The following is a 26,362-nucleotide window of genomic DNA, read 5'->3' as shown; positions in this document are numbered from 1 at the left end:
TTCCTCTTTCTAGTTTCAAGACTCCACCAGAGCCCCTGATTGACAAAGATATTAGAAATGTTCATTGTACTTTATATTGAGTTCAGAGGTTATTTCATTTTTACTTTTGTTTGGTATTTATACTACTTTGGTGATCTAAGTGTCTTTCTTCTGGTTTGGTATGTGTCATTAATTTTGAAAACTTTCAACCAATATCTTTTAAAATGTGTTTTGCTGTCCTGTTTCTTTCTTCTTCTTCTGGATTTCACTTACAAATGAATGTAATGGTATTACAAATAAATGACACAACCCCACTGAAGGATGTAGAACCTACCGAAGTAACCTTGAAAATGGCATTTTTACTATATACTAAAAGACAAGACAAAAAGAACCATATGAAAATACTGTATTTTTTAGTAAATTAGTTTTTCACAGGGTAATATGGATACCTTGTGCCTCTTTGCTTTCATTTTAGTAGCTTTTAAATGTTCCTCCCCACTAATTGTCCAAACCAGTCTTCACCCCTCTGAACACAAACAAAAGTGTGCTAATTTTACTCAAAGTCATTCTGTTGTTAAAATATTCTCAGCCTGTTTTCCCTCCATGTCTTCCCTCCCTTTCAATGCAATTACCTTTTTTAGCTACAATTAGCTTCCAGGGAGCACCTACTATGTGGCAAGCATTCTGAGTACTTTACACAGACTCATATCCTCACATGCACATATGTAAGTATATTACATACACATGCACATACTCTCATAAACATATATTCATAATCACATTCACAATTATAATCACATACTTCGACTCAATCACATACTCATAAACATGGGCAGGAAAACATATACATGCTCAAATATATATGTATTCACATGATCACATACACAATAACATGTACATACACAATCACACACACATGTACAATCACAAGTACATACAAAATCACACAGCTATGTGAAATCATTTACTTATACAAAGTCACATACACAATCATATACAATACACATTACATCCTCTTAAAAATCCTATAAGTTTGGGTCCCATTATTATCATGTTCATTTTTCAAATGAGGAAATGAGGTACAAAAGTTGTATGAAATTATTCTGCTTGTAAGTGATACAGCCTATATTTGAAATGTGAGGAGTCTGACTCTAGAGTCCATGTTCTTAATCAAAATGTTATACGTTTTGGCACCGAAACATTTTCTTTGGTTTTTAATACTAGTAACTGTTTTCACTGTCCACTACTCTGTGTTTAGCCTGTAATAATTCATTGTCTGCATTATCTTTTTAACCATGTTGTTTTGTTCCAAGTTATGACCTTCTAGATGGCTCCAGGGGTCTAAATATAATTCCCTTTATAAATTTTCCTGCATTTGTAAAGAAAGTGTATTTTCTCCACTATTACAAATTCATATAAATTAATCTGAAGGTTAAATATTTTTTAAATTAATATTTTACAAATTTCTAAATATTAAATAACTATGTGTTCAAAAAAAAATTTGAAATATTTTATATAAAATATAAAGTATTCTAAGGCCAAGTAAATAAGGAAATACCTTGCAGATAATGAGAGTCCATTTTCTTCTTCCAGTGAAGGAGTTATAAACAAGGAAAGAAAAGGCTAGAAAGAATTCCATGGAGTTAATTTGGAATTAGAGTTGTCAGTATGAATTCTGACTTAAATATTGTAAACATAGGTAGATAAATATATAAATAGAGTTAGATATATGTGTATGTGCATATGTCTGTTCAGAAGGCTAAGAAAAAACCTACACTAGTAGTAGAAGTAAGAATATCTAGTGCAAAGATCTTATTTTCTAAATATTTTTGTCTAATAAAAAAAACTCCTGGGACATGGAAAATTCAAGTTGATCCTGGAATAACTTGTGGCAGCATAAAGTTAAGAAATGCTCCAAAAAGTGATGGCGGTATGTCAAGAGGCACAGCTTGAAGGGGCTCTCGATGGCCAAATATGACACAACATAAACAGCTGCATATCCATGATTTTATTCTAATATAAACAGAATAAAATAAATATTCATGATACTATTATCATATAAATAACTGAAATGGCCAATATGATGAAACCCTGTCTCTACCAAAAATACAAAAAAATTAGCTGGATGTGGTGGCATGCACCCGTAGTCCCAGCTACTCAGGAGGCTGAGGCAGAAGAATTGCTTGAACCCAGGAGATGAAGGCTGCAGTGAGCAGAGATCACACCACTGTACTCCAGCCCAGGCAACAGAGAAAGACTCTGCCTCAAAAAAAAAAAAAAGAAAAGAAAAAAGAAAGAAAAATGGTAACACTACCATGACGAAACCTGGCACACATTACCTTAGTAAAATGATTGAAGTTAACATCACCAATAATGATACAAATTGTTATCATGTACCTCCTGATATGATTTATTGGGATGATCACAACACAATCACTTTTGTGACCTTTTTGCTATCTCATGAAAGATGAAAAAAGATTAAAGAACAACCGAAGATTGAAGGAGACTACAGAGACATGACAACTAAATACAATGTAGGATCCTGGACCAACAATAAAAAACTTGACAAAACAGTTGAGGAAATTTGAATAAGATCTGCAGTTTAGTTAACTGAATTGAATCAACTTTATTGTCCTTATTTAGATAATTGCTCTGGAGTTATATAAGATCTTAACCTTTGAGGAAGCCAAATGAGGGGAAAATGGAGATTTTTGTGGAATTTTTGCAATATTTTTAAACTCTGAAATTATTTAAAATTAATGTTATTAATAAAAATACAAAAATCTAATAAATAGATATCTCTTTGTACTATTCTTTGCATCTAGAACCCATATCTAGAAACCAAAATAAAGGACAACAGGGGTTTGATACCAGAGAGACAGAGATTTATCAACATAGTCACTGAAATTACTTTTATATTCTTACATTTATTTTTCTCATATTTACTTTTTCTACCCTCTACTTAAGATTCCTTCAATGTCAGTGTTAATTTCATTCTAGAAATCATTCACCATCAAGAGTCTTGAATTTGTGAAGGTGTGATAAGCCCAATTGAAGTGTTGTAAACTGTTTACAATTAAAACTTGTTTTCAGAAAATGAAAGTAATAGTTTTTATGCATTGTTGTAACCTCTTTGACTAATTTTAGTCAGGCCTTTAGATGTTTTTTGTGGGCACAGGGAAATTTATGAATTTATGCTTCTGGCAGAATTAGTCATTATTTGATATTAGAGAAATAGCACCGACTTCTCCATTCCCAATGTTAACATGAGATATCTCTGAGAAGAAATTACAAACCTAAACATGAAGTGTTAGAGTTTTGGAAAAACAATGAAAGGGCCAGTGGCTACAAAGAGTAGAACATGCTGGGAAGAGGTTAAGGTTGATAGTGCAGGATATCGCAAATCACAAAAGGATTTAGCTCTATATCATAAGGACACTAGAGAGCTATTGGAGGGTTTTCAGCAGAAAAATCATAATATTAGATTTACGCATAGCTTTGGAAGTGCTGATGAAATAAAGGAAAGAAAAGCTTCCAGAAGTTGTGATTCACTGGAGTTCATTTGGAAGTTGTCGTGAGTCTTAGCATTTTAGAGGAAGACATTGGTGGCAGTCTCAACTCCCAGACAGAATTAAATTGGTTTCAACAGTCTAGAGACTAGGATACATTCTCTAGGAGAACTTCACATGGAGACCACCACCGCTGCAGATTTTAATTGTTTGCATGCTCAAAGGAGGTGAGCTCTTGAGAGAGTTCAATATTGCTTGTGAGTGAGTTCATCTGAATTGTCAATAGAAAACAATGGCTTCATCTATTCTGCTTTCCAAATCTTACCTGAGTACTTCTCAGTTGAAGGCTATAAATCAGGTAGAAGGCATGGAAGGAGATTCTACAAAATTTATTTCCAAGATTCTCTTCCTTGACGCACATGAGAGATGATAATGAAGTAAACATTAGTTAATGTTGCTATGTATGATCTATTTACTTATGGTGATATATTCTATCCATTATTTATTTAATGATGATTATAGTGACAACATATAATTTATTGAGATGATCACAACACACATATCAGAGTTTGATAAATACTGAGTGAAATTATCTGATTATGCAAAAACAAAAATTTCAGTGCGACTTACATGCACTTTATATTTACCCTCATAAAATTATTATGAAACGACAAGGGTCTTGGTTATTTTCCCCCAAACAGGTGGCTCTGTACAAGAAAGTCGATTGTACAGATGATGGAAATTTTTAAAAGGATGAAGAAAATAAGACTTTTTTTTTGGACAGAGTCTTGCCCTGTTGCCCAGGCTGGAGTGCATTGGTGTGATCTTGGCTCACCGCAACCTCCACCTCCCAGGTTCAAGAAATTCTCCTAACTCAACCTCCCCAGTAGCTGGGATTACAGGCATACACCACCACACCTGGCTAATTTTTGTATTTTTAGTAGAGACGGGGTTTCGCCATACTCGTCTGGAACTCCTGACCTCAAGTGATCGGCCCGTCTCGGCCTCCCAAAGTGTTGGGATTACAGGTGTGAGCCACCACGCCCAGCTGTAAACAAGTTTTAACTGCCCTCCTCCAAAAAGATTGTATTTGTCTGTTTGTTTTCAACTAAATTAAAGAATAGAAAAGTCAGTCCCCTGTGGCTGTTGCTGTGCTGTATCAATGAAAACACCACTTGATCCTTGGGCAATTAAATAAATAGGATTCATAAAATGGTAGAAGTCAGAGCTCCAGCAAATGAAAACATTTCCTATCACTTTAAAGATAGAAATTTAGTTTAAATTGAAACTGAGGTAACTTGTTTTATAGAACTCTGCAGTTTCCCACACGACTTGCAATAAAAATTTTAAATAAAAGAAAACCAAGGGCTTCTATGGAAATTTGTATGGTGCATTCAGTAGTAAATTTAGTAGTGCAACTATGGAATAATGATGTTTGCTCTATTGGTCAGCATAAGAGGTTTATGAATCATTTTTCTATTTTGAATTTGAAGTTAACAGGTAAAATAACTTCTGTTTAACAAGTTGTCTGCTACACATTCCTCACAATCTGGAAGAAAGTTTTAACTTGGACAAGTGTGACAACACATACTCAAGCAAAAAAACTGGCCTCTAGGTTTAAGATATCCAAATTTAGACTGGATCTCACCTGTTTATGTAAGCTTTATGGTTGTGTCAAGTTTGTCCTATAAACTTGTGAATAAAAAGAGTTTTAATGCAATAATAAAAACATGATGATATTTTAATAGTTCAATAGAAAGGTAATGCTGAGTTAATTTTATAGATGGATTTTACCATGGAAAGAGTAACATATATCCCCTGACTGATTATCACTTGTTTTTTTCTCACTCTATTCTTTGATGTTCTGGACGTTGTTGATATCCAACAAATTTCATTATTTTAGATTTCCTTAGGTATAGTACTGTCCAAGAAATATCTACACTTCTTTCCTGGGGCATATCCCATAAGGAATGATAGTTTATTCTTTAGTTTTTTATTCCTTTTTAATTCCATCACCTACTTGAGGAAACTGTACCTAGCAAGTTTCCACACCTGGTTTAAACAAACAGATTAAAGTAAAAGAAGTTAAGAAATAGTTTAATATCATTTATAGCTACTGTGATTTTCAATGGAGGAAAAATTGTTATCATTATAAAAATGCAAACCTATTTTCTTTCTGTCTCTCTCTCTCTCTTTCTTTTTTTTGACGGAGTCTTGCTCTGTCGCCCAGGCTGGAATGTAGTGGCATGATCTTGGCTCACTGCAACCTCTGCCTCCTGGGTTCCAGTGATTCTCGTGCCTCAGCCTCCCAAGTAGCTGGGATTACAGGCATGCACCACCATGCCTGGCTAATTTTAGTATTTTTAGTAGATATGGGGTTTCACCATGTTGGCCAGGCTGGTCTTGAAGTCCTGACCTCAAGTGATCCACCCAACTCGGCCCCCCAAAGTGCTGGGATTACTGTGTGTTTATTTCTAAGAACAACAAGGAAGTTCTTAATGCTTTCTGTTAATAATAATCCACATTTACTAAACATTCATTGTGTTCTGGAAACTGTCATAAGTCATGTTACTTAAATTATTTCATCAAACAAATAATATCATGGCTCTTGTTTACAAATACTGTAACTGAGATACAGAGAAGTAATTAACTTGTTAAAATTTGATGACTCAACTCCCCAAAAAGACAAAAAGACCACCAGAAAAACCGTTGATGAATCAAAGCTAGGTCTAGGTAAGAAAACTACCTTGACAGAGTCTTAATGTTTAAGAATAGGGGTCCCCAACCCCTGGGCCACAGACCAGTACCTGTTTGGAATTGGGCTGCATGGCAGGAGGTGAGCAGCAGGCGAGTTAGCAATACCACCTGAGCTCCACCTCCTGTCAGATCAGCGGCAGCATTAGATTCTCATAGGAGGGAGAACCCTATTGTAAACTGCACGCAAGGGATCTAGGTTGTGTGCTCCTTATGAGAATTTAATGTTTGATGATCTGAAGTGGGACAGTTTCATCCCCAAACCATCTCCTCCAACCCCCAATCTGTGGAAAAATTGTCTTCCATGAAACCGGTCCCTGGCGTCACAAAGGTTGGGAACCTCTTTCTTAGAAGGTTAAGGAGATGATATATAGAGAGAGTTTCGTATCTGAGTTTCAGGGATTTAAGGCAAGTCTTTAGAAGAGAGAAATTGATTATAACTGGGCAGCATTTATAATATCATTGTTTGATTGGTGGACCTGAAAAAAAATCTTTGTAAGTAAACTATTCTGTGGAAAGTAAGTTGTTTGCCCCAGTGAGCAAACTGTTTGTTCAGGTAAGTTATTTTGCAGGCAAGCTATTTATTTGTTTAAAGTACTTTATTCTTGATCAATAAATGTTTGGAAACAAAAGTTTGTCTCTGTTCTTAGCCTTGATAATTAAGCTATTTGGACACAGCTTAACATCATATAGGAGGCTGCTTAGAAATAGTAATAGTAGGCTGGGTGCAGTGGCTTACACCTGTAATCCCAGCACTTTGGGAGGCCGAGGCGGGAAGGTCACGAGGTCAGGAGTTTGAGACCAGCCTGACCAACACGGTAAAACCCCGTCTCTACTAAAAGTACAAAAATTAGCCAGGCATGGGTGCGCACCTGTAATCCCAGCTACTCAGGAGGCTGAGGCAGAGGAATCGCCTGAACCTGCGAGGCAGAGGTTGCAGTGAGCCAAGATTGCGTCATTGCACTCCAGCCTGGACAACAGAGTGAGACTCGATCTCAAAAAAAAAAAAAAATTTAATTAATTTAAAAAAAGAGAAAAAGAAATAGTAACAAAAACAACAATAATAATGAACAATAATAATGTGTACATTCATTATTTCAGTTTAAGATATTTGAGAAGTTTTGGGACTTTGCATGGTGTCCATTTACAAAGACAAAGAATATCATGGCTAAATTATGTTTATAAAATCTAGCAAAGACAAAAGGAATTTGGGTTTATGGAAGATAAGTCACAGACTAGGGTTCGAATTATACTAGAAACTTTGATAGGCCATCAGCCTAACACTAGACTATAATCAATATGTTCTTGGCATAATATGAGAATGATAAGCATTTGGCAATGAACTCATTTCTGCTCCATTTTTATAACATAATCTGTGTAATCTACCTGATATAAATAGACATATTTTCAGCCCTTTTTCTTGGGGGCATTTTTCTTGTAGGAAACTAATGATAGAATCCATTGAATTGGCATTATTATTATTATTATTATTGTTATTATTATTTTAAGAGGGAGTCTCGCTCTGTCACCCAGGCTGGAGTGCAGTGGCACAACCTCTGTTCACTGCAAGCTCCACCTCCCAGGTTCACACCATTCTCCTGCCTCAGCCTCCCAAGTAGCTGGGACTACAGGCACCCACCACCACGCCTGGCTAATTTTTTGTATTTTTAGTAGAGATGGGATTTCACTGTGTTAGACAGGATGGCCTCGATCTCCTGACCTCGTGATCCACCCACCTCAGCCTCCCAAAGTGCTGGGATTACAGGCGTGAGCCACCGCGCCTGGCCTGAATTGATACTGTAGTCAGGTAACTATGTGTCACTTGTCATGGACCCATTAAACCTCGAGTGCATTCAACCAATCAAAATGTAGCAATTCTTTGGTCTCTTAACAATAGCAAAACTATGTTTAAACTGATCTAGTAGTATCAGGTACTGTTCTTTATAAACATAATCTACCTATGAATGAGGATACAGCAGCTTTTATCAGTTATTGTTACAATCAAGTTAACTTTAATAACCCACGTATCCCAGCTGAATGTCACATCAAAGGGTAGCCTGACAGCCCTCAAATTCTGCATATGATCATTAAACTTACTCTTCTCTTCTCCCTCTGAGCAGCTTTTTCAGTGTGGATTTCCTCTGTTCCATACCATGTCTAACCAGTTATAAAATGTTCAGTTTCTTCACCAGCATTGGCCTCTGAAAATAAATCAATCACATGAGGGTTGCATGAGATTTATGACATATATTGCACAAAAACAGAAAGAGAGATTAAAACTCTTTATTAGAAATATCTACGCTCTATAATATTTCTTATTTACATGTACCCAGTGATTGTTCTCATCCTACAGCAGCCAATCTTGGGTTCTTTCATAATGCCTCTCTCATTTCTTTTTTTCTATCATCTTTTTAATCCTTCAACACTATTCATCTTCCCAGGAGAAAACAAAAACAAGTCAAACTTAAGTGCATCTCTTGATTTTCTTATCAACCATTTTCTCTGTTGCTTTCGGGACAGCCATCCAGGCATTCAAATCATCATTTTTTATGTTAATCTCTCATCAAATAATTTCTGTAAACAAAAAGATATCCCTCTCTCAGAAGAATCCTGGAATCCATCCACTAATATTGTTTACATCATAGGGATCAAAACACAGATTAATGAAAACAGGTGAATTGCCCAATCATTTGACCAATATCTTTAACTTTCTAACCTGCCCAGAGTGAAAGTTTTAGATGCAAATTTGAATGTTGTAACATTAAAGGCCAAAATTCTTTCTTTAGAAAAACATACCTTCTCCCAGTAGGCTTCACTAGTTCTAGCACTCTGGCATTAACCATAACTAGTATGAAATTCCCTTTTCAGTTATGCCTTTAAAAGCCCAGACCATCTCTCTAATACAGCCAGTAACCTGTATAAAAAACAGAATGAGCAACATGCTTTTGGACCCAGGAACTTCTCTAGGCTCGTCCTCCCCACCAACTTCCTATATTACTTCGCTCTTCTGTTGGCCAACAACTCAATTTTGGCTTTCTGCATGATTTTGCCTTTGGGATTTAAATTCCAAATCTGAAATGAGCAATCTAGTTTTATGATAAGTAATTTATTTTATACCTAAATTGGCCTCTCATTTAATTCCCTGGAATTGATGGCTTGTTTTTGAACAATTTTATTTTTTAATTTTAATTTTTTTATTTTCACAGGATTTTGGGGAACAAGTGGTGTTTGGTTACATGAATAAGTTCTCTAGTGGTGATTTCTGAGATTTTGGTGCACCCATCACCTGAGCAGTGTACACTGTACCCAATTTGTAGTCTTTTATCCCTCATCCCCCTCCCACCCTTTCCTGAGTCCCCAAAGTCTATTGCATCATTCTTACGCATTTGCATCCTCATAGCTTAGCTTCTGCTTATGAGTGAGAATATACAGTGTTTGGTTTTCCATTCCTGAGTTACTTCGCTTAGAATAATGGTCTCTAATTCAGGTCGCTGTAAATGCCATTATTTTGTTCATTTTTATGACTGAGTAGTATTCTATGGTGTGTGTGTATATATATATGTATGTGTGTGTGTATATATATATATATATCACAATTTCTTTATCTACTTGTTGATTGATAGGCATTTGGGCTGATTCCATATTTTTGCAATTGTGAATTGTGCTGCTATAAACATGCGTGTGCAAGCATCTTTTTCATATAACAACTTCTTTTCCTCTGGGTACATACCCAGTAGTGGGATTGCTGGATCAAATGGTTAGTTCTACTTTTAGTTCTTTAAGAAATCTCCACACTGTTTTCCATAGTGGCTGTACTAGTTACATTCCCACCAGCAGGATAAAAGTGTTCCCCTTCCACCACATTCACACCAATATCTATTATTTTTTGATTTTTTTTAATTATGGCCATTCTTGCAGGAGTGAAGTGGTATTGCATTGTGGTTCTGATTTGCATTTCCCTGAATAATAGTGATGTTAAGCATTTTTTTATATGTTTGTCGGCCATTTGTATATCTTCTTTTCAGAATTGTCTATTCATGTCCTTAGCCCACTTTTTGATGAGATTGTTTGTTTTTTTCTTGATAATTTGTTTGAGTTCCTTGTAGATTCTGTCTATTAGTCCTTTGTTGGATGTATATAGATTGTGAAGATTTTCTTTCATTCTGTGGGTTGTCTGTTTGCTGATTGTTTCTTTTGCTGTGCAGAAGCTTTTTAGTTTTTTTAAGTCCCATCTTTTTCTCCTTGTTTTTGTTGCATTTGCTTTTGAGTTCTTGGTCATGAAGTCTTTGCCTAAGCCAATGTCTACAAGGGTTTTTCCAATGTTATCTTCTAGAATTTTTATGGTTTCATATCTTAGATTTAAGTCCTTGATCCGCCTTGAGTTAATTTTTGTATAAGGTGAAAGATGAGGATCCAGTCTCATTCTTCTACATGCAGCTTGCCTATTATCCCATCACCATTTGTTGAATATGGTGTTTTTTCCCTACTTTATGTTTTTGTTTGCTTTGTCAAAGATCAGTTGGCTGTAAGTATTTGGCTTTATTTCTGGGTTCTTGATTCTGTTCCATTGGCCTATGTACCTATTTTTATACCAGTACCATGCTATTTTGGTGACTATCACTTGTAGTTTAGTTTGAAGTCAGGTAATCTGATGCCTCCTGATTTGTTCTTTTTTGCTTAGTCTTTCTTTGGCTATGTGGGCTCTTTTTTTATTCCATAGGAACAATAGGATTACTTTTTCTAGTTCTGTGAAGAATGATGGTGGTATTTTAATGGGAATTACATTGAATTTGTATATTACTTTTGGCAGTATGGTCATTTTCACAATATTGATTCTACTCATCCATGAGCATGGGATGTGTTTCCATTTGTTTGTGTCATCTATGGTTTCTTTCAGCAGCGTTTTGTAGTTTTCATTGTAAAGGTCTTTCATTTCTTTGGTTAGGTATATTCCTAAGTTTCTTTTTTTTTTTTTTTTTTTTTACAGCTGTTATAAAAGAGGTTGAGTTCTTGATTTGATTCCCAGCTTGGTTGCTGTTAGTGTACAGCAGTGCTACTGATTTGTGTACATTAATTTTGTATCCTGAAACTTTGCTGAATTAATTTATCAGTTCTAGGTGCTTTTTGGATAAGGCTTTAAGGCTTTTTAGGCATACGATCATATCATCAGCAAACAGCGACAGTTTGACTTCCTCTTTACTGATTTGGATGCCCTTTATTTCTTTCTCTTGTCTGATTGCTCTGCCTAGGACTTCCATCACTATGTTGAATAGAAGTGGTGAGAGTGAGCATTCTTATCTTGTTCCAGTTCTCAGAAGAAATGCTTTCAACTTGTCCCTATTCAGTATATGTTGGCTGTGGGTTTGTCATAGATAGTTTTTATTATATTGAGGTATGTTCCTTGTATGCCGATTTTCCTCAGAGTTTTAATCATAAAGAGATGCTGGATTTTGTTGAATGTTTTTTTTCTGCATCTATTGAGAGGATCATGTGATCTTTGTTTTTAATTCTGCTTATGTGGTGTATGACATTTATTGACTTGACTATATTAAACCATCCCTGCATCCCTGGTATGAAACTCATTTGATCATGGTGGATTATCTTTTTGATATGCTGATGGACTCAGCTAGTATTATGTTAAGGATTTTTGCATCTATATTCATCAGGTATATTGGTCTTTAGTTTTGTTGTTGTTATGTCCTTTCCAGGTTTTGGGGTTAGGGTGATACTGGCTTCATAGAATAATTTAGGGAGGATTCTCTCTTTCTCTATCTTGTGGAATAGTGTCAATAGGATTGGTACCAATTCTTCTTCGAAAATCTGATAGAATTCAGCTGTGAATCTGTCTGGTCCTGGACTTTTTTTTGTTGGCAATTTTTAAATTGCCATTTCAATCTCACTGCTTGTTATTGGTCTGTTCAGAGTTTCTATTTCTTTCAGGAGTTTTTGAACAACTTTCTAATAGCACTCATGTTTCCTGATTGATGCTATTCTTGCTTAATATCTATTTCTTGGTCTCTACGTTACATAGCTTTGAGTAACAGACCATGGCCATTCTTCCTTCTTCACAGGCCCCTCCTCTGTCCACCCATTCTTGGTTTATTCCTCTTTTTTCTCTACACATTCATTGGGTAATTTCAGTCGATTACATGATTTATCAATGTGTTAATGAATTCTACATCTATATTTCCAGCCCCTTTAATCTGTTGCAGATACTCAATTGGATTGCTATAGGCATTCACCCTTCTTCAATATTTAGATAAGGAGTCAGCTCTTAGAGTTAGTCTTTATCCAACTCTGAAGCTGTGTTAACTTTCCTTCTCTGTACTTTTATTGTGTTCTATGAACACTTCTATCAAGCATTAACTGCAGTCCTGATTATGTGTTTTATCTGTTAATCTCTTACTAGATTGCAAGCTCCCTGGAGGCAAGAACTTCACCTAAATAAACCTTGCATTTCCAGCACAGAGTTTCTGAAATATTTTGAAAATATTTTAAGTAATAGATAAATGTAAGGAGGTTTTTAAAAAAGAAAAAATTCAAACCCTTTTACAATGGAGTATGTTTTCTTGGAAGGTAATGTGTGCTCCAATAAGATATTGGCAATTACTTTCGAGGAAAAATGTAGGCATTGTGTATGCAGCAGACCGGCAGCTGGACTCCATAACCTCTAATATCTACAATGTTTATAAACCTATGATCCTGGAATGCTCTGGAAGAAATTACATAAGAGGAAAAAGTTAACTTTTTTGGCACATTGTCCAAAGTTTCTAATTAATCATTTTGCCAATTCTAAATGTGCTGCTTAATTGCTCAGAAATCAAATTACATTAACACTACCAAAAGCTATTGAAATTTGGCACAAATTCCATTAACAGATGAAGTATCATTTAAATTACATGCTTCATTTATTTCATTATTTTAAAATCATCACATGAGTTTAGAGTAAACGAGCACACAACTTATAACAATTTACTTTTGGCAAGTATTTGTGTCTTCCAGTGACAGGATCTGCACACACTCACTCTGATACAATGAAGAGTGACCTCCAATTTGGTTTTATGCTTAATGTGTTTTGCTATGTTGACAAAACATATTTGAGCTTGCTGCAAAGTGATTGAAGTAAGAAAAGTGAGATGGGAAAATTTTAATGCAAGGCAAAATACAAGCTCAAATTCAATGAGTAAAATTTTTAAATTTTGCCTAGATTCTTTTGTAATGTTGTAAATCAGTCATCTTCATGAAAAACAGATGTCATAAAAAAGGCTGTAGGAAAATCTGGAAGTGTTTTTGGATTGAATTTGTACAAATTCTTAGTTTACATACATTGTAGAGGAGAAGAAATGGACTCTGAAATTAAGTAATTTGCTTAAGGTTATAGTAAGGAAATACCAGCAGTTCATGTTATTTTTTCTTAGGCTTTTATTTTTTAAAGTGATAATTTTATGACTATTTCTCTTCTGCTCAATGTTTATTTCTAAAAGGATTTTGTAGAGCCCAATAGCGCTACAGTGAAGACCACATCCTGTGGATTGTTGCACGTATTTTTTTTTATGTATGGGTATGAATGTATGTACATTGTGTGATGGTTCTGAAGGCAGTGAATATTCCAGGTGACATGTATCAGGCGGAAATAGATATACATAAAAAGTGGGTATTAAATGATCAAAGCTTGACTTTTTAAAACGTGTTTATTCTTACAGTTTAGCTTGTTGTTTTCCTTTTTTCCTTCTGAGCAACATAAATTATAACAAAAAGTGTAATAAAAGTATAATAAAAAGAAAACTTTTTTGCTAAGGGTGGAGAGTAAAGGACTAGACTCCCAGAAACACTTCTATGTCCTCAAATTATCTCCAAGCCTCGGACATATAGTTACTTCAACTCTAGGGGCTTTTTTTTTTTTTCCAAGTTTTCAAGCACAATCAAGTAATTTTGGCTTAACATAGAATATTATGAAGTGTCAGAGATTTGAACTTTGTCCAGTGGTTCTGAGACTAACAGACAAGGCTGAGCCAGCAAAATTTCACATAACAAGGGTAAGAGTACCCAAATCCTCTTGTAAAAATTCCTTCTCTTTCCAAACATTTATCTGTCTTTGGCTGCCACCTTCTCTTTTCAGACATAGAGAATTAAACTAATATAAAACTTAGAAGCATCTGAGCCACAGGAAGAATCATATTCACCAAGAATTCTGACTGATCATCCATATGTAATGTTGTATGGTTACATTCTTCTCAGTGTCTCTTGTACATGTGCATATTGCATTTTCACAATTAATGTTTTCTCCATGCATGGTTGACTGTATTAAAAAAAGGTTTTTGAGAAATTACTCTGTCACTGGAATATTCAGTAGTTTATCCTTTTTCATCCATGAACACACATATATAATCAATTTGGGTATTCTAAAGAGTGTATTTCCTCTAACTGCAAGAAAGGCATATTTTGCCTATTTAATTAATCAAGCTGAGTTCCATTTCAAGGGGCTGAATTGTATCATCATGAAGTTTTAATAAATTATAAATCTTTAGATGGTTAAAGGCAACATTACCCAGGCTTAACATAATGGAGTTGGACTAATACATCCAGAGCTCCATTCTCTGGGATTGAGATATGCTTGCCTCCAGGCAAGTGGCATGAATTAGTCAAGACATTTCTTGCTGAGAAAGCACACTGCAGAACTGGAAATCTCTTTACAAGATCCTACATAATGTTTTGCTCACACTAACCCTTCATTTATCACTAATTGTCATATAGGGATAAATATGGGAGTTGACTTCTTAGATAATGGATAATATATACTGATGCAATTTGTTTTAGATATTGAGAGAACAGTCAGTGTCACAGATGAAGCTGATTGCTTTCTGAGAGACTGAAAACTGGTTAATACATTTTGATCAAAATTCTATTTTATTTTTCATTAAAGGAAGGGAAGTAACGCTGGAATTCGACTGGCTGCAGGTCATCTGCCCAAATTATAGAGTGATGTCATAATAATTCACATCATTAGTGAGTTTTAATATTCCTGACAGTCTCTGAAACAAATAGAACTTTTCTTTTCTTTCATTTTTTTCCTTTTTTTTTTTTTTGAGACGGGGCTTCCCTCTGTTGCCCACGCTGGAGTGCTGTGGCACAGCCTCTGCTCACTGCAACCTCAACCCCCTGGGTTCAAGCAATCCTCTCACCTCAGCCTCCCAAATAGCTGGGACTACAGGCTTGCCACCATACCCAGATAATTTTTGTAATTTTTGTAGAGATGGGATTTCACCATGTTGGCCAGGCTGGTCTCAAACTTCTGAGCTCAAAGGATCCACCTACCTCGGCCTCCCAAATTGCTGAGATTACCGGCATGAGCCACCATGCCTGGCCAAATGGAACTTTTGAGTCACAATCACCCCAATATAATCTATTAAAATGTTTAACTCTTTAAAAGGTAAACTTCTATGGAGGGTATTTGGACCGGATAATTTAACAATTATATTTCTGACTAGTCACGTAAAAATTTGACAATGTGTAATAAAAGTAACTTGTCATTTTATTTAGGTGCAGATGTAAATTATGTGACAAGGAGCACCTAGTCACCGTTTAACATCCCCACATTATTGTGACTTTATCATTCTCTGTTACCGTTCATTGAGAGTCTGAATGGATATCTTGTATTTACTTTTTATTAAATTTAAATTTTTCTTACCTCATTTAGTGGGAGAGATTATATTTGGTAATTTGAGAAGCATGAAAAATATTCATCTCAAATGTAAGGGCCTGCCAGTTGCGGTGGCTCACACCTGTAATCCCAGCACTTTGGGAGACCAAGGCAGGCAGATCTTCTGAGGTCAGGAGTTCGAGACCAGCCTGGCCAACATGGAGAAACCCTGTCTCTACTAAAAATACAAAAATTAGCCTGGTGTGATGGTATGTGCCTTTAATCCCAGCTAGTCAGGAGGTCGAGGCAGGAGAATTGCTTGGAGGCAGGAGAATCGCTTGAACCCAGGAGGCGGAGGTTGCAGTGAGCCAAGATCTCGCTACTGCACTCCAGCCTGTGTGACAAGCTGAAATCTGTCTCAAAAACAAAAACAAAAAGAAACAACAACAAAAAAACCCCATCAAATTCAAGGGCCTACTATATAATGGTATTTACAAAACCAATATCAAATATAATGAATAAAACATTCAACTAAGTATCAGAAGACAATTATTTAATTCAGCTCTGCAACACTCAAAGTGTGTTCCATGGAACAAATCCTGGTTTTTCTAGAGGGTAGGAACTTGAATGTCATTTCTAAACATGTTTCTTCCCAAACTACCACATCATTGCTAAGTCTTGAAAATTCTACCTAATATATGTGGAATATAGAATTCATTCTCTTCTCACTAAATATGACTATCCAGTGATTTTCAGCCTTCAATAACTTTAACCTTAATTATGGCAATAGTTCACTATCCTGTACAATCTGTTTTCCACACAGAAGCTTGAGAAATATTTTACACACATTTGTCTGATCATATCCAATTACTTTTATTAGCTCTCTCTCTCTCTTTCTGTCTCTCTCTCTCATACACACACACACACACACATACTTATAATCCTATAATATTCTCTGGTTCTTCAGAGCATAAAATCCAAAAGCAATGACATAGCCTACAAAGCCAGGAATAATCTATGCCTTCTCTACCTGGAAATTCTCTCTTCCTTTCTTTTTTCTTTTGGAGTTTTGTTTTGTTTTAAGTATACTTTTTATTTTGGAATAGTTTTGGAATTACAGAAAATGTGCAAATGTAGTACATAGGAATCCCACAAATCCCATATTCACTTCCCTTTATTGTTAACATATTACATTAGTTTGGAACAGTTGTCACAACTAAAGAATCAATGTTGGCACACTTTATTAACCATACTTTGTTCAGATTGTCTCAGTATCTCCCTAATGTTATTTTCTGTCACAAGAACCCATGCAGGATGCCACATTACATATAGTTGTTACATTTCCTTAGGCAATTTTTGGCTGTCACAGTTTCTCAGATTTTCTTGTTTTTGATTATCTTAACAGTTTTGAGGAATTTTGGGGTATTGTGTAGAATGTCTCTCAATCAGAATTTGTCTGATGTTTTTCTCATGATCAGACTGGGATAATGTATTTTGGGGTGAAGACCACATAAATAAAATGTAATTTTTCTTACATCAAGCGTATATCCAATCAACATGACATCACTGTTGATATTAACCTTGGTCACATGGGTTGATAGAGTGTTTGTCAAATTTCCTCATTTTAAATGACCCCTGAATTTCCGTTAATTACTATTGAAATAAAACTATTATTAGAAGCCCACATTGGGGAACTGAGAGTTATCATTCTTCCCCTGGAGGGTTGAGTAGCCACATAAATTATTAGCATGTCTTCTGCACAGGATATTTTTATCGTCTGTAATATTTATTTATTTTGCAACCATTTATTTCTACCACTGTAGATTCATGGATACTTATTTTATACTTTGGGTTAAATTCTAATAATATTTTATTAACTTGATCAAAACTTCCCAACTTTGGCCATGCCACACTCTTTCAGTTGGCTCTTGTATACCTCTGGCATACCTACAACCTATTTGGGTTTTTTTCTTTTTAGCAGTTTCTTACTTCTGATGCTGTAAGATGTTCCAGGATCATCTTTTACATTTCCTGCTCAATCCTAGAATCAGTCATTTTTCTGTGGAGTCCTGGTTTCTATTATCGGATAATGGTATTACAAACCAAGATCAGAGCCCTATAGACCTGACAATTTGTTATTTGCAGGTTATTAATTATTATGGTAGTTTATGTCTTACAAGAAATTGGTCATTTCATGTATATTATCAAATCTGTGGACATTGACTTGTTCACAGTGTTTCTTATTATTTTAATGTCTATGAGAATCATGGTGATGACCCCAATGCATTTCAGATATTTGTAATTTTTGTCTCTTCTCTTATTTCTTCGTTAATGCATGATATGGTTTGGATCTGTGTCCCCACCAAATCTCATGGTGAATTGTAATCCCCAGTGTTGGAGGTGGGACCTGGTAAGAGGTAATCAGATCATGGGAGTGGATCCTTCATGAATGGTTTAGCACCATCCCCTTGGTCCTGTTTTCATGACAGATTTATCATGAGATCTGGTTGTTTAAAAGTGTGTGGCACCGTCCCCCCCTCCTTTCTCCTGCTCCATCCATGTGAAGTGCCACCTTCCTCTGCCTTCCGCCATGATTATAACTTTGCTGAGGCCTCCCCAGAAGCCAAGCAGATGCCACCATCATGTCTCCTGTACAGCCTGCAGAACCATGAGCCAGTTAAACCTCCTTTGTTTGTAAATTACCCAGTCTCAAGGATTTCTTTTAGCAGTGAGAGACTGCCCTGATACAACCCAGCTAAAGGTTTATCAATTATATTGATTTTTCCATGTAACTGGATAAGATTTCACTAGTTTTTTTCTATTGTTTTCCTTTTTATAATTTCACTGATTTCTGCTCTAGTTTTTATTATTTATTTCCTTCTTCTTGATTTAAATTTCATGTGCTCTTCTTTTGCCAGTTTTCTAATGTAAAAACTTTGGCTATTGCCTTTGCATTCTCTTAGCATTTCTTTCCCACAAATTTTGACGAATTTTATTATAATTTTTAGTTCAAATTTTAAAAAAATTTATCTTGAGACTTCTTTTACCCATAGTTTGAATGAGTGTTGTTTAATTTCGAAATATTTAGGGATTTCTCAGGCATGTTTCCACTACTGATTTCTAGTTTAATTCTACTGATAACATCCTTTGTATGACTCATATATATTTTTTAATTTGTGAATGTATGTTTTATTGCTCAGAATATGGTTTACCTTGCTGAATATTTCATGCAAGCTAGAGAACACGTATTTTTTTTTTTGAGACAGAGTCTTGCTATGTTGCCCAGCTGGAGTGCAGTGGCAAAATTTTGGCTCACTGCAACCTCTGCCTCCCAGGTTCAAGCGATTCTCCTGCCTCAGGCTCCTGAGTAGCTGGGATTACAGGCGTGCGCTACCACGCCTGGTTAATTTTTGTGTTTTTGGTAGAGATGGGGTTTTACCATGTTGGTCAGGCTGTTCTCAAACTCCTGACCTCGTGATCCACCCACCTTAGCCTCCCAAAGTGCCGGGATTACAGGAGTGAGCCACCGCACCCAGCCCATGTGTTCTTCTTTAGTCAAATGGAGTATTATATAAATGACAATTAGATTGAATTGATTGTTAGTGCTGGTCAGATCATGTATATACTTAATGGATTTCTGCCCGCTTGAGTTATCAATTAATCAGACTATCAATTAACGATAGTGGATTTGTCTATTTGTATTTGGAGATATGTTAGTGTTTTTTTGTTTTGTTTTGAGATGGAGTGTCACTCTGTCACCCCAGCTGGAGTGAAGTGGGGTGATCTCAGCTTACTGCAACCTCCACCTCTTGAGTTCAAGCGATTCTCCTGCCTCAGCCTCCTGACTAGCTAAGATTACAGGTGCACGCCACCGCATCCAGCTAATTTTCGTATTTTTAGTAGAGATGGGGTTTCACCATGTTGGTCAGGCTGGTCTCGAACTCCTGACCTTGTGATCAGCCCACCTCAGCTTTCCAAAGTGCGGGGATTACAGGCTTTAGCCACCCTGCTTGGCCTACTTCATGTACCTTGATATTCTGTGGTTGGGGGCCTATAAACTATGGATTGATATCTCTTAGAGAATAAACATTTTTAAATAGTACCCCCGTTTATTCCTGATAATTTTACTCACTCTGAATCCTGCTTTGTTTGAAATTAACATGCTGATTCCATTTGCTTTTGATCAGTGTTACTATGGTGTATCTTTATCCCTTTATTTTACATGTTAGAGTATTTATATTTAAATTAGCTTTCTTGTGGACATCATAGTGAGGCCTTTTATATGTATTCTGACAAAACATTCTTTAATGGGTGCATTTAGGTCATTCACATTTAAATAGATTATTACTGATATATTTTGACTCATATCAATCCTGTTTCTAATAATTTTCTATGCATTGCCAGAGGCTTCATTTTCTACCTTCTCTGGTATAATTGAGTTTATGATTTCATTTTATCTTTTTTCATAGCATTAGTCATATTCTTTTTAAAAAATCTTAGCGGTTGCCTAGAGTTTACATACATATTTTTAAATAATCTAATTCTATCTTTAAAAATACTGTTCCATTTCAAATGTAGTGTACCTAGGTACTTTATAGCACAATATTCCCAATCCCTCTTCCCCTCCCTTGTGGTATTACTGTCATTCCTTTTGCTTATAACCATGCACTAAAATCATCTAATACATTGTGTCTGAACTTCCCCTTGTTTACCAGGTCCACGGTCCACTTTGTCTTCAAATATTTGAAACTTCTTCATGATTCAGATTCTTCTACTCATTGAGCTATTTCTACTCATGCACTCTTCTGCTTCTTCTTAGCCTTGTAGAGTAGTTACCCTTCAGCTTTTCACTTACATATCATGCCTTTAAATATTAGAGGAGCCTTCCCTGATCCTCCGAGTTATCCTAGATTCCCATGTTACACACACTCATAGTACTTCCTTCTATTTATATAATAGTTACTAAATTGCAATAAGTTGAGTATTTATTTCAGGTCTATATTCAGCTTCTCTGGAGAAGAGCAGAAAAATCTACTGCTGTGAAGCATGTCTTCTTATGAAAAGAGTTCAGGTAAGTAACATATTCATCACTCGGCTTTAGTGTCCAAAAAAGCAATGATCATTTCTTTCTTATCCCACCACTGGCCTGGAATTTATTATGTACTAAATACATCTTTATGGAATAAAGAAGGATATTTTATAGTTAAAATATTTAGGAAACAGTGGTTCCTAAATTGGCATACTTCTTTGAGTGTTTAATATGCTCAACCTCTATTAAAGGGTAAGATTATTGGATAATTCTTCAAATAATTTGACCAAACAAACCTTTTTGAGCAACATGTTGTAGTATTGTCTATTGCTGCTTTTTATGACACAACAGATAAGTTGGGTACTTGTAATAGAGACCCTATAGTTCATAAACCTGAAATATTTATTATATGATCTTTTGCAGAAAACATTTTGTCAACTTCTAGCCAGGGCCATTCATAATGATGAGATGTTTGAGGGGTATTTTCCAGCTCTAATATCATAGCCATCAACATTGCCATTCTACCTAGGAATAAGAAACAGATATGGGTTCTAATAATGCCCTTCATGGAAAATTAGAGTAAGCAAAATAGTGTGTTAGAAGGAGTACAGTTCTGGTAGTTATATGACCCAAGTTTAAGTCCTGGTTTTCTCCCTGGCTTAATTAATTTGGGAAAGTTGCAGAACATTTCCTTACTTTTCACTGTTGTTAGTTCATGTGAATATTCTTTAAATGGAAATAAGGTCATATCTACAGGGGAAAAAAAGCTATGAGTGTATTAAAACAAGTCACTGTAATAGTCGTAAATTGTTGTGTATGTTTTTTAGAAAACAAACCAAATACCCTTACTAAAATTTCCATTTGGGAGAGAGATCCCCAAGCTGTCAATATGGAAGCATAATGAAGTCCATCCACTTCAGTTCAGCAGGTTTAGCAGGTTGTCCCTATTATTTACTTTGAGCCTGGACAATGGTGATGATTATCAGCCTTGCTGACTTTCAAATACCTCACCTGAAACATGCCAGCAAGACCCTATAGTGACTGTGGCTACTGGACTCATCCCAAACTTTGGGTTAGACTGTATCCAAAGGAATGTCAGCAAAGTCTGCAGCATGTAGTCTTCTGGTTTTTTGTTTGTTTGTTTTTTGTCTTTTCCCACAAAAGAGGTTTCAGCATTTCCTTTTCTCAGAGTGGAGTATTTACATGTGGCATATTCTTAGGGGCACTTATCCATAGAACAGAAAACATTTTCAGCAGAGGCAAAGTGTACGGTAAATAAAAGGCATTAACTGAGGCATAAACTAGTTCAGATGTGTGTAGGTCACTTCTTAAGTGACCTAGGTTATGTCCTGATTTGGTTTGGCTCTGTGTCCCCACCCAAATCTCATCTCGAATTTTATCCCCATAATCTCCGTGTGTCGAGGGAAGGATCAGGTGGAAGGTGATTGGATCATGGGGGAGGGTTCCTCCATTGCCATTCTTGTGATAGTGAGTGAGCTCTCATGAGAGCTGATGGTTTTATAAGGGGCTTTTCCCCCTTCACTTCCTGCACACGTTCTCTCACCCGCTGCCATTTAAGTTGTGCCTGCTTTCCCTTCTGCCATGATTGTAAGTTTTCTGAGGCCTCCCCAGCCATGCAGAACTGTGAGTAAATTAAACCTTTGTTTATAAATTACCCAGTCTGGAGTAGTATCTTTATAGCAGTGTGAGAATAGACTAATCCATTTCCCTTCCTATATTCTGAGATTTTCTCACCTGCAAAACATGCGTCCAGGACTGTGTTATGTGAGTTCCCTTCTTACACTGATTTTAAATCATGGAACAAAAGAATTGTGGAGAGATGACAGAATATCCTGTAGTTAAACATGTTATCAGGTGGCACTGATTTTTCAGAGCCTTCGGGTTTTCTGAGTTGTGCTTTTTGAGATTACAGAGGCAGAATTCCACATCATGGAAATTAACCTCTAAATGAGAAATTTTTTAACAAGCAGGCATTATCTTGGGACAAAATCTAATTATCAACTCTTGGTTGTTCGATAGAAGGAAAAATGTCTGAGCTTCTCTGGAGAAGAGCAGAAAATCTGCTGCCGTGAAGTATGTCCTCTTATGAAAAGAGTTCATGTAAGTAACATGTTTTGGAGTCCCTTAACAGACAAACAAGCAAATCAACAAAGACAAGATGTGCACAGAAGAATTTAGTGGTATTGATTGAAATGACATATTTAAATATCAAAATTTAAATGGAATATAAATGGAATTAAGGGTTTCTATGCAGACATGGAGACATAAAACTAGGTGATTTACATTTGGGATTTCAGTAATTTCTCACAACATTTTTATTTAATGGCTATTATTATTTCTGTTTTACAGATTCAAACACTAACTTTAAAGATTATTATGTGCAACCAACTTAACTGCTCTATGGCAGAACTGGGATTAAAATTCAAGTTTGACAATTTTCAAAATCCTTCTCAAAATTAGCTCAATGTAACCTTTCCACAATGTACACATATTTCAAAACATTATGTTGTGCATGATAAACCCATACAATTTTTATTTGCCAGTTGTACATAAATAATTGATTAATTAAACCAACCAACCAACACACACCCACACCAAAAACCTTCTTTGAAACTGTAAGCATGGAAAATACTGAAGTTTTCACCTGAATGAATTAAAATCTCAATTTAAATATGATTGAAACCAAATTAAATTTGAACTTCTTGTATTTATTGAACTTCTGTTAAATAAATTGCACGTCCAAAAGGACACTTGTACTTTATTAGCCTTTTCCATCTTCCAGCTGGGGATGTATGGTAGTGGTAGTGGGAAGTGGGGAAAGGAATATAATTGAGGAATTAAGTAAATAATTCAAAAACCTTTAGAATGTAAGTGCGAACTCTATACCAGAAAGTAGAATTTCACATTTGCTTTCCAGTGCATGAAAAGTCAAGGCTATTGATGGACAGTCTATTTCTTAGACAATGTGAATTTCTAAAAATTGACCAAACAATGAGGTCTATTTATTTGAGGAATAGGATTCATATGCAACACGAGTTCATACCTCAGACCTTGGATAAGTTCAACTAAAGTGACACAGCTATTTAATCAAAAGATGAGAGCACTCCAATGACAACTTCTTAAATTGATCTGGAATTTGATTGCTGTGTAGGTATAATATTAGCCAAACACAACTTTTGTTTCATGTGTACTTTTGCAGCTAAGTAACATAAGTTATATAATCACCTTTAACATTACTGCCAGATATTGTATGAATATTTAAGAATAACTGCATTTTAACTTAAATTAAAAGCCATTTGTCTTTGATTAACTATACTTATTCCAGATTGTTAAACAATGTGCTTGACATTCACTTGAGAGTTTTGAGAAGGCACGTAGTTTTGTTGTGTTTGCTGGCAGTTCAATCTTTGTGTATACACACATGCATTTAACGACTGTAAAGAAGAGATCACAAATTCGTGATGCGCAACTAGAACATAAATTATTTTCATTGCAAGCTATAACTGCAACGACAAGAGAAGTTTTATGATACATTTTTGTCACTAATATGAATGTTAAAGAGTTGAGAATTTACGTGTTAGGAGGCACGCTCAACTAGATTGTGAAACAATAGTTTCTAACAGCTCTGAAGGAGCTATTAGATTGTGTAAAAAAATGTGTTCTAAAAAGTCCCTAAATATGTATTTATATAATTGGAGCTATTATGGTTTATTGTATCAATTACTCATGTACTAAAGAAGAAAGAACCAACAGCTTAAAACACTTTCATTAAAGGGGTTGGCAGTTACACACAAGCAACCCAATCTTGAGCCTTTGAAGAGGTTAAGACAAACAATGTAAATGTTCTTGTAAAATTATCTGTAATATCTCTAAACACAACTTCTACTTGGGAATAAAAATAGTGTGTATTTGTAATGATGATCAAATAAGGATTATAGAATTGTTACAGGATGAAAATCATACCCCGTACATTGTGTCAAGCTATTTTAAAATAAAAAGAAATGAAAGTAGGGGAAGAAAAGCCTGAATTTTTGTAGACACTACCAAGACTGGCTTTCTGATTTTGTTTAATTGACATCTATATATGAAGACACTAATAAATAGCCTTTGCTTCAGGTTTTGTTGTTGTTATTGTTTTATGCATTTAATCTAGATTGGAGGAAAAGGAATTCTATACAGGAAATGCTAATTAACAATACAGAACGAAAGCACAAGAAATGTGATGCAGCTTTAATTGTCAAATCTTAAATACTACAGCTTCAGAGAATGTGTAAATAAATTTGTGACAGAATGTTTTTTGCAGTTTTCATTCATTGTCATTTTCCAGGGGGTTTTGATGTAAAGAGTTTTCATTTGCAGATATAGAGGACAAAGATAATAGTAGGGCAGGAAATAATTTACAAACTAGCAGGCTGAATTATTATAATAAATCTCACTTGGCTAAAGATGATAATGATGTGATAATAACTGTTTCTTTCCCTATTATTCTCTATGGAGTGAACTTAGTAAAAATAACTTGGTGGGCATTTCAACAGACACATTGGAAGTTTACTATTTCCTTTGAGTTAGGTAGGGCTGAATGGTTGATATACACTGGGGGATTTTAACATTATACATAACTTTGCAAGTGTAGAAATGACCAATATAAGCTAAAAATTTTAAATTGTTCCACAAGATATTCTTGGGCATTTTTATCCCCTGGTAGATTTTCAGACACTGAGGTTCCCCCTAATGCAATATAAAAATGTTAAAATAATACCTAGTTCACAATTAAGAATTGAGGTTTCTTAATGTTCTATGTAAATAATAACATAATCAAAACTACTTTTCAAACACCATGTTTTTTGCTTTTATTAATTTTCCTATCTAGCCCACTAAGTACTGCACTAATCAACATATATTATTGGCCAATTAGCATGAACATTAAAACTAGGAATGTTGGCATTTTAATCCTAAGAAATAAATAACTCAATAGGGGAAATATGTCACCTACCACCATTCAGCTAATTGAGTAAAGAAAAACTATATCTACATAATGCACATAAAGTTAGTATAAGTTTAGTTGGGCATTTGTCTTGATAGATGTTAAAATCCCTGTAGAATTTACTTTGATTATTAAACTCAAAAATTTTTTTTTTGTTTTACAAAAATATTTTTTACACTCCAGGAATTTACTTTAATGATAATATTTACATTTCTATATTTTTGAATTTAATAAAATAATTATAATAAGTACAAGTAAGTGTGTATTGAATACTGATTATGTACCAGTCATTGTGCTAAATACTTTATATGAAATAACCCTTTTAGTATCAAAATAGCCCTAGGAAGAAGCTGGGGGAGCTCATGAGGTTAGCAAGAAACCTTAAACAAATAGCTGGGAAGTGACAAAGAATTACATTTAATAAAAAGAAGTATCATTACTTTAAT

The 26,362-nt window shown here is 35.2% G+C and overlaps 1 long non-coding RNA gene across 2 annotated transcripts in view; it reads left to right on the top strand.

Annotated features, from left to right (window-relative positions):
• LOC105378339 (uncharacterized) overlaps positions 1-26,362 on the top strand; it is a 145,924-nt gene that overhangs the window by 30,556 nt on the left and 89,006 nt on the right. The window contains exons 2-3 of one of the 2 annotated variants that reach the window (XR_001747476.2): positions 20,877-20,953; positions 22,952-23,032. This is a non-coding gene — a long non-coding RNA (uncharacterized LOC105378339). Of the gene's footprint in view, positions 1-20,876; positions 20,954-22,951; positions 25,224-26,362 lie in introns of those variants that run through there. The other variant, XR_946023.4, reaches the window with a different exon arrangement.

This window comes from Homo sapiens, chromosome 10, assembly GCF_000001405.40.
Source record: "Homo sapiens chromosome 10, GRCh38.p14 Primary Assembly".
NCBI classification, from domain to species: Eukaryota; Metazoa; Chordata; class Mammalia; order Primates; family Hominidae; genus Homo; species Homo sapiens.
The sequence above is the reverse complement of the archived record's forward strand: the minus strand, read 5'-3'. Positions and strand labels throughout refer to the sequence as shown.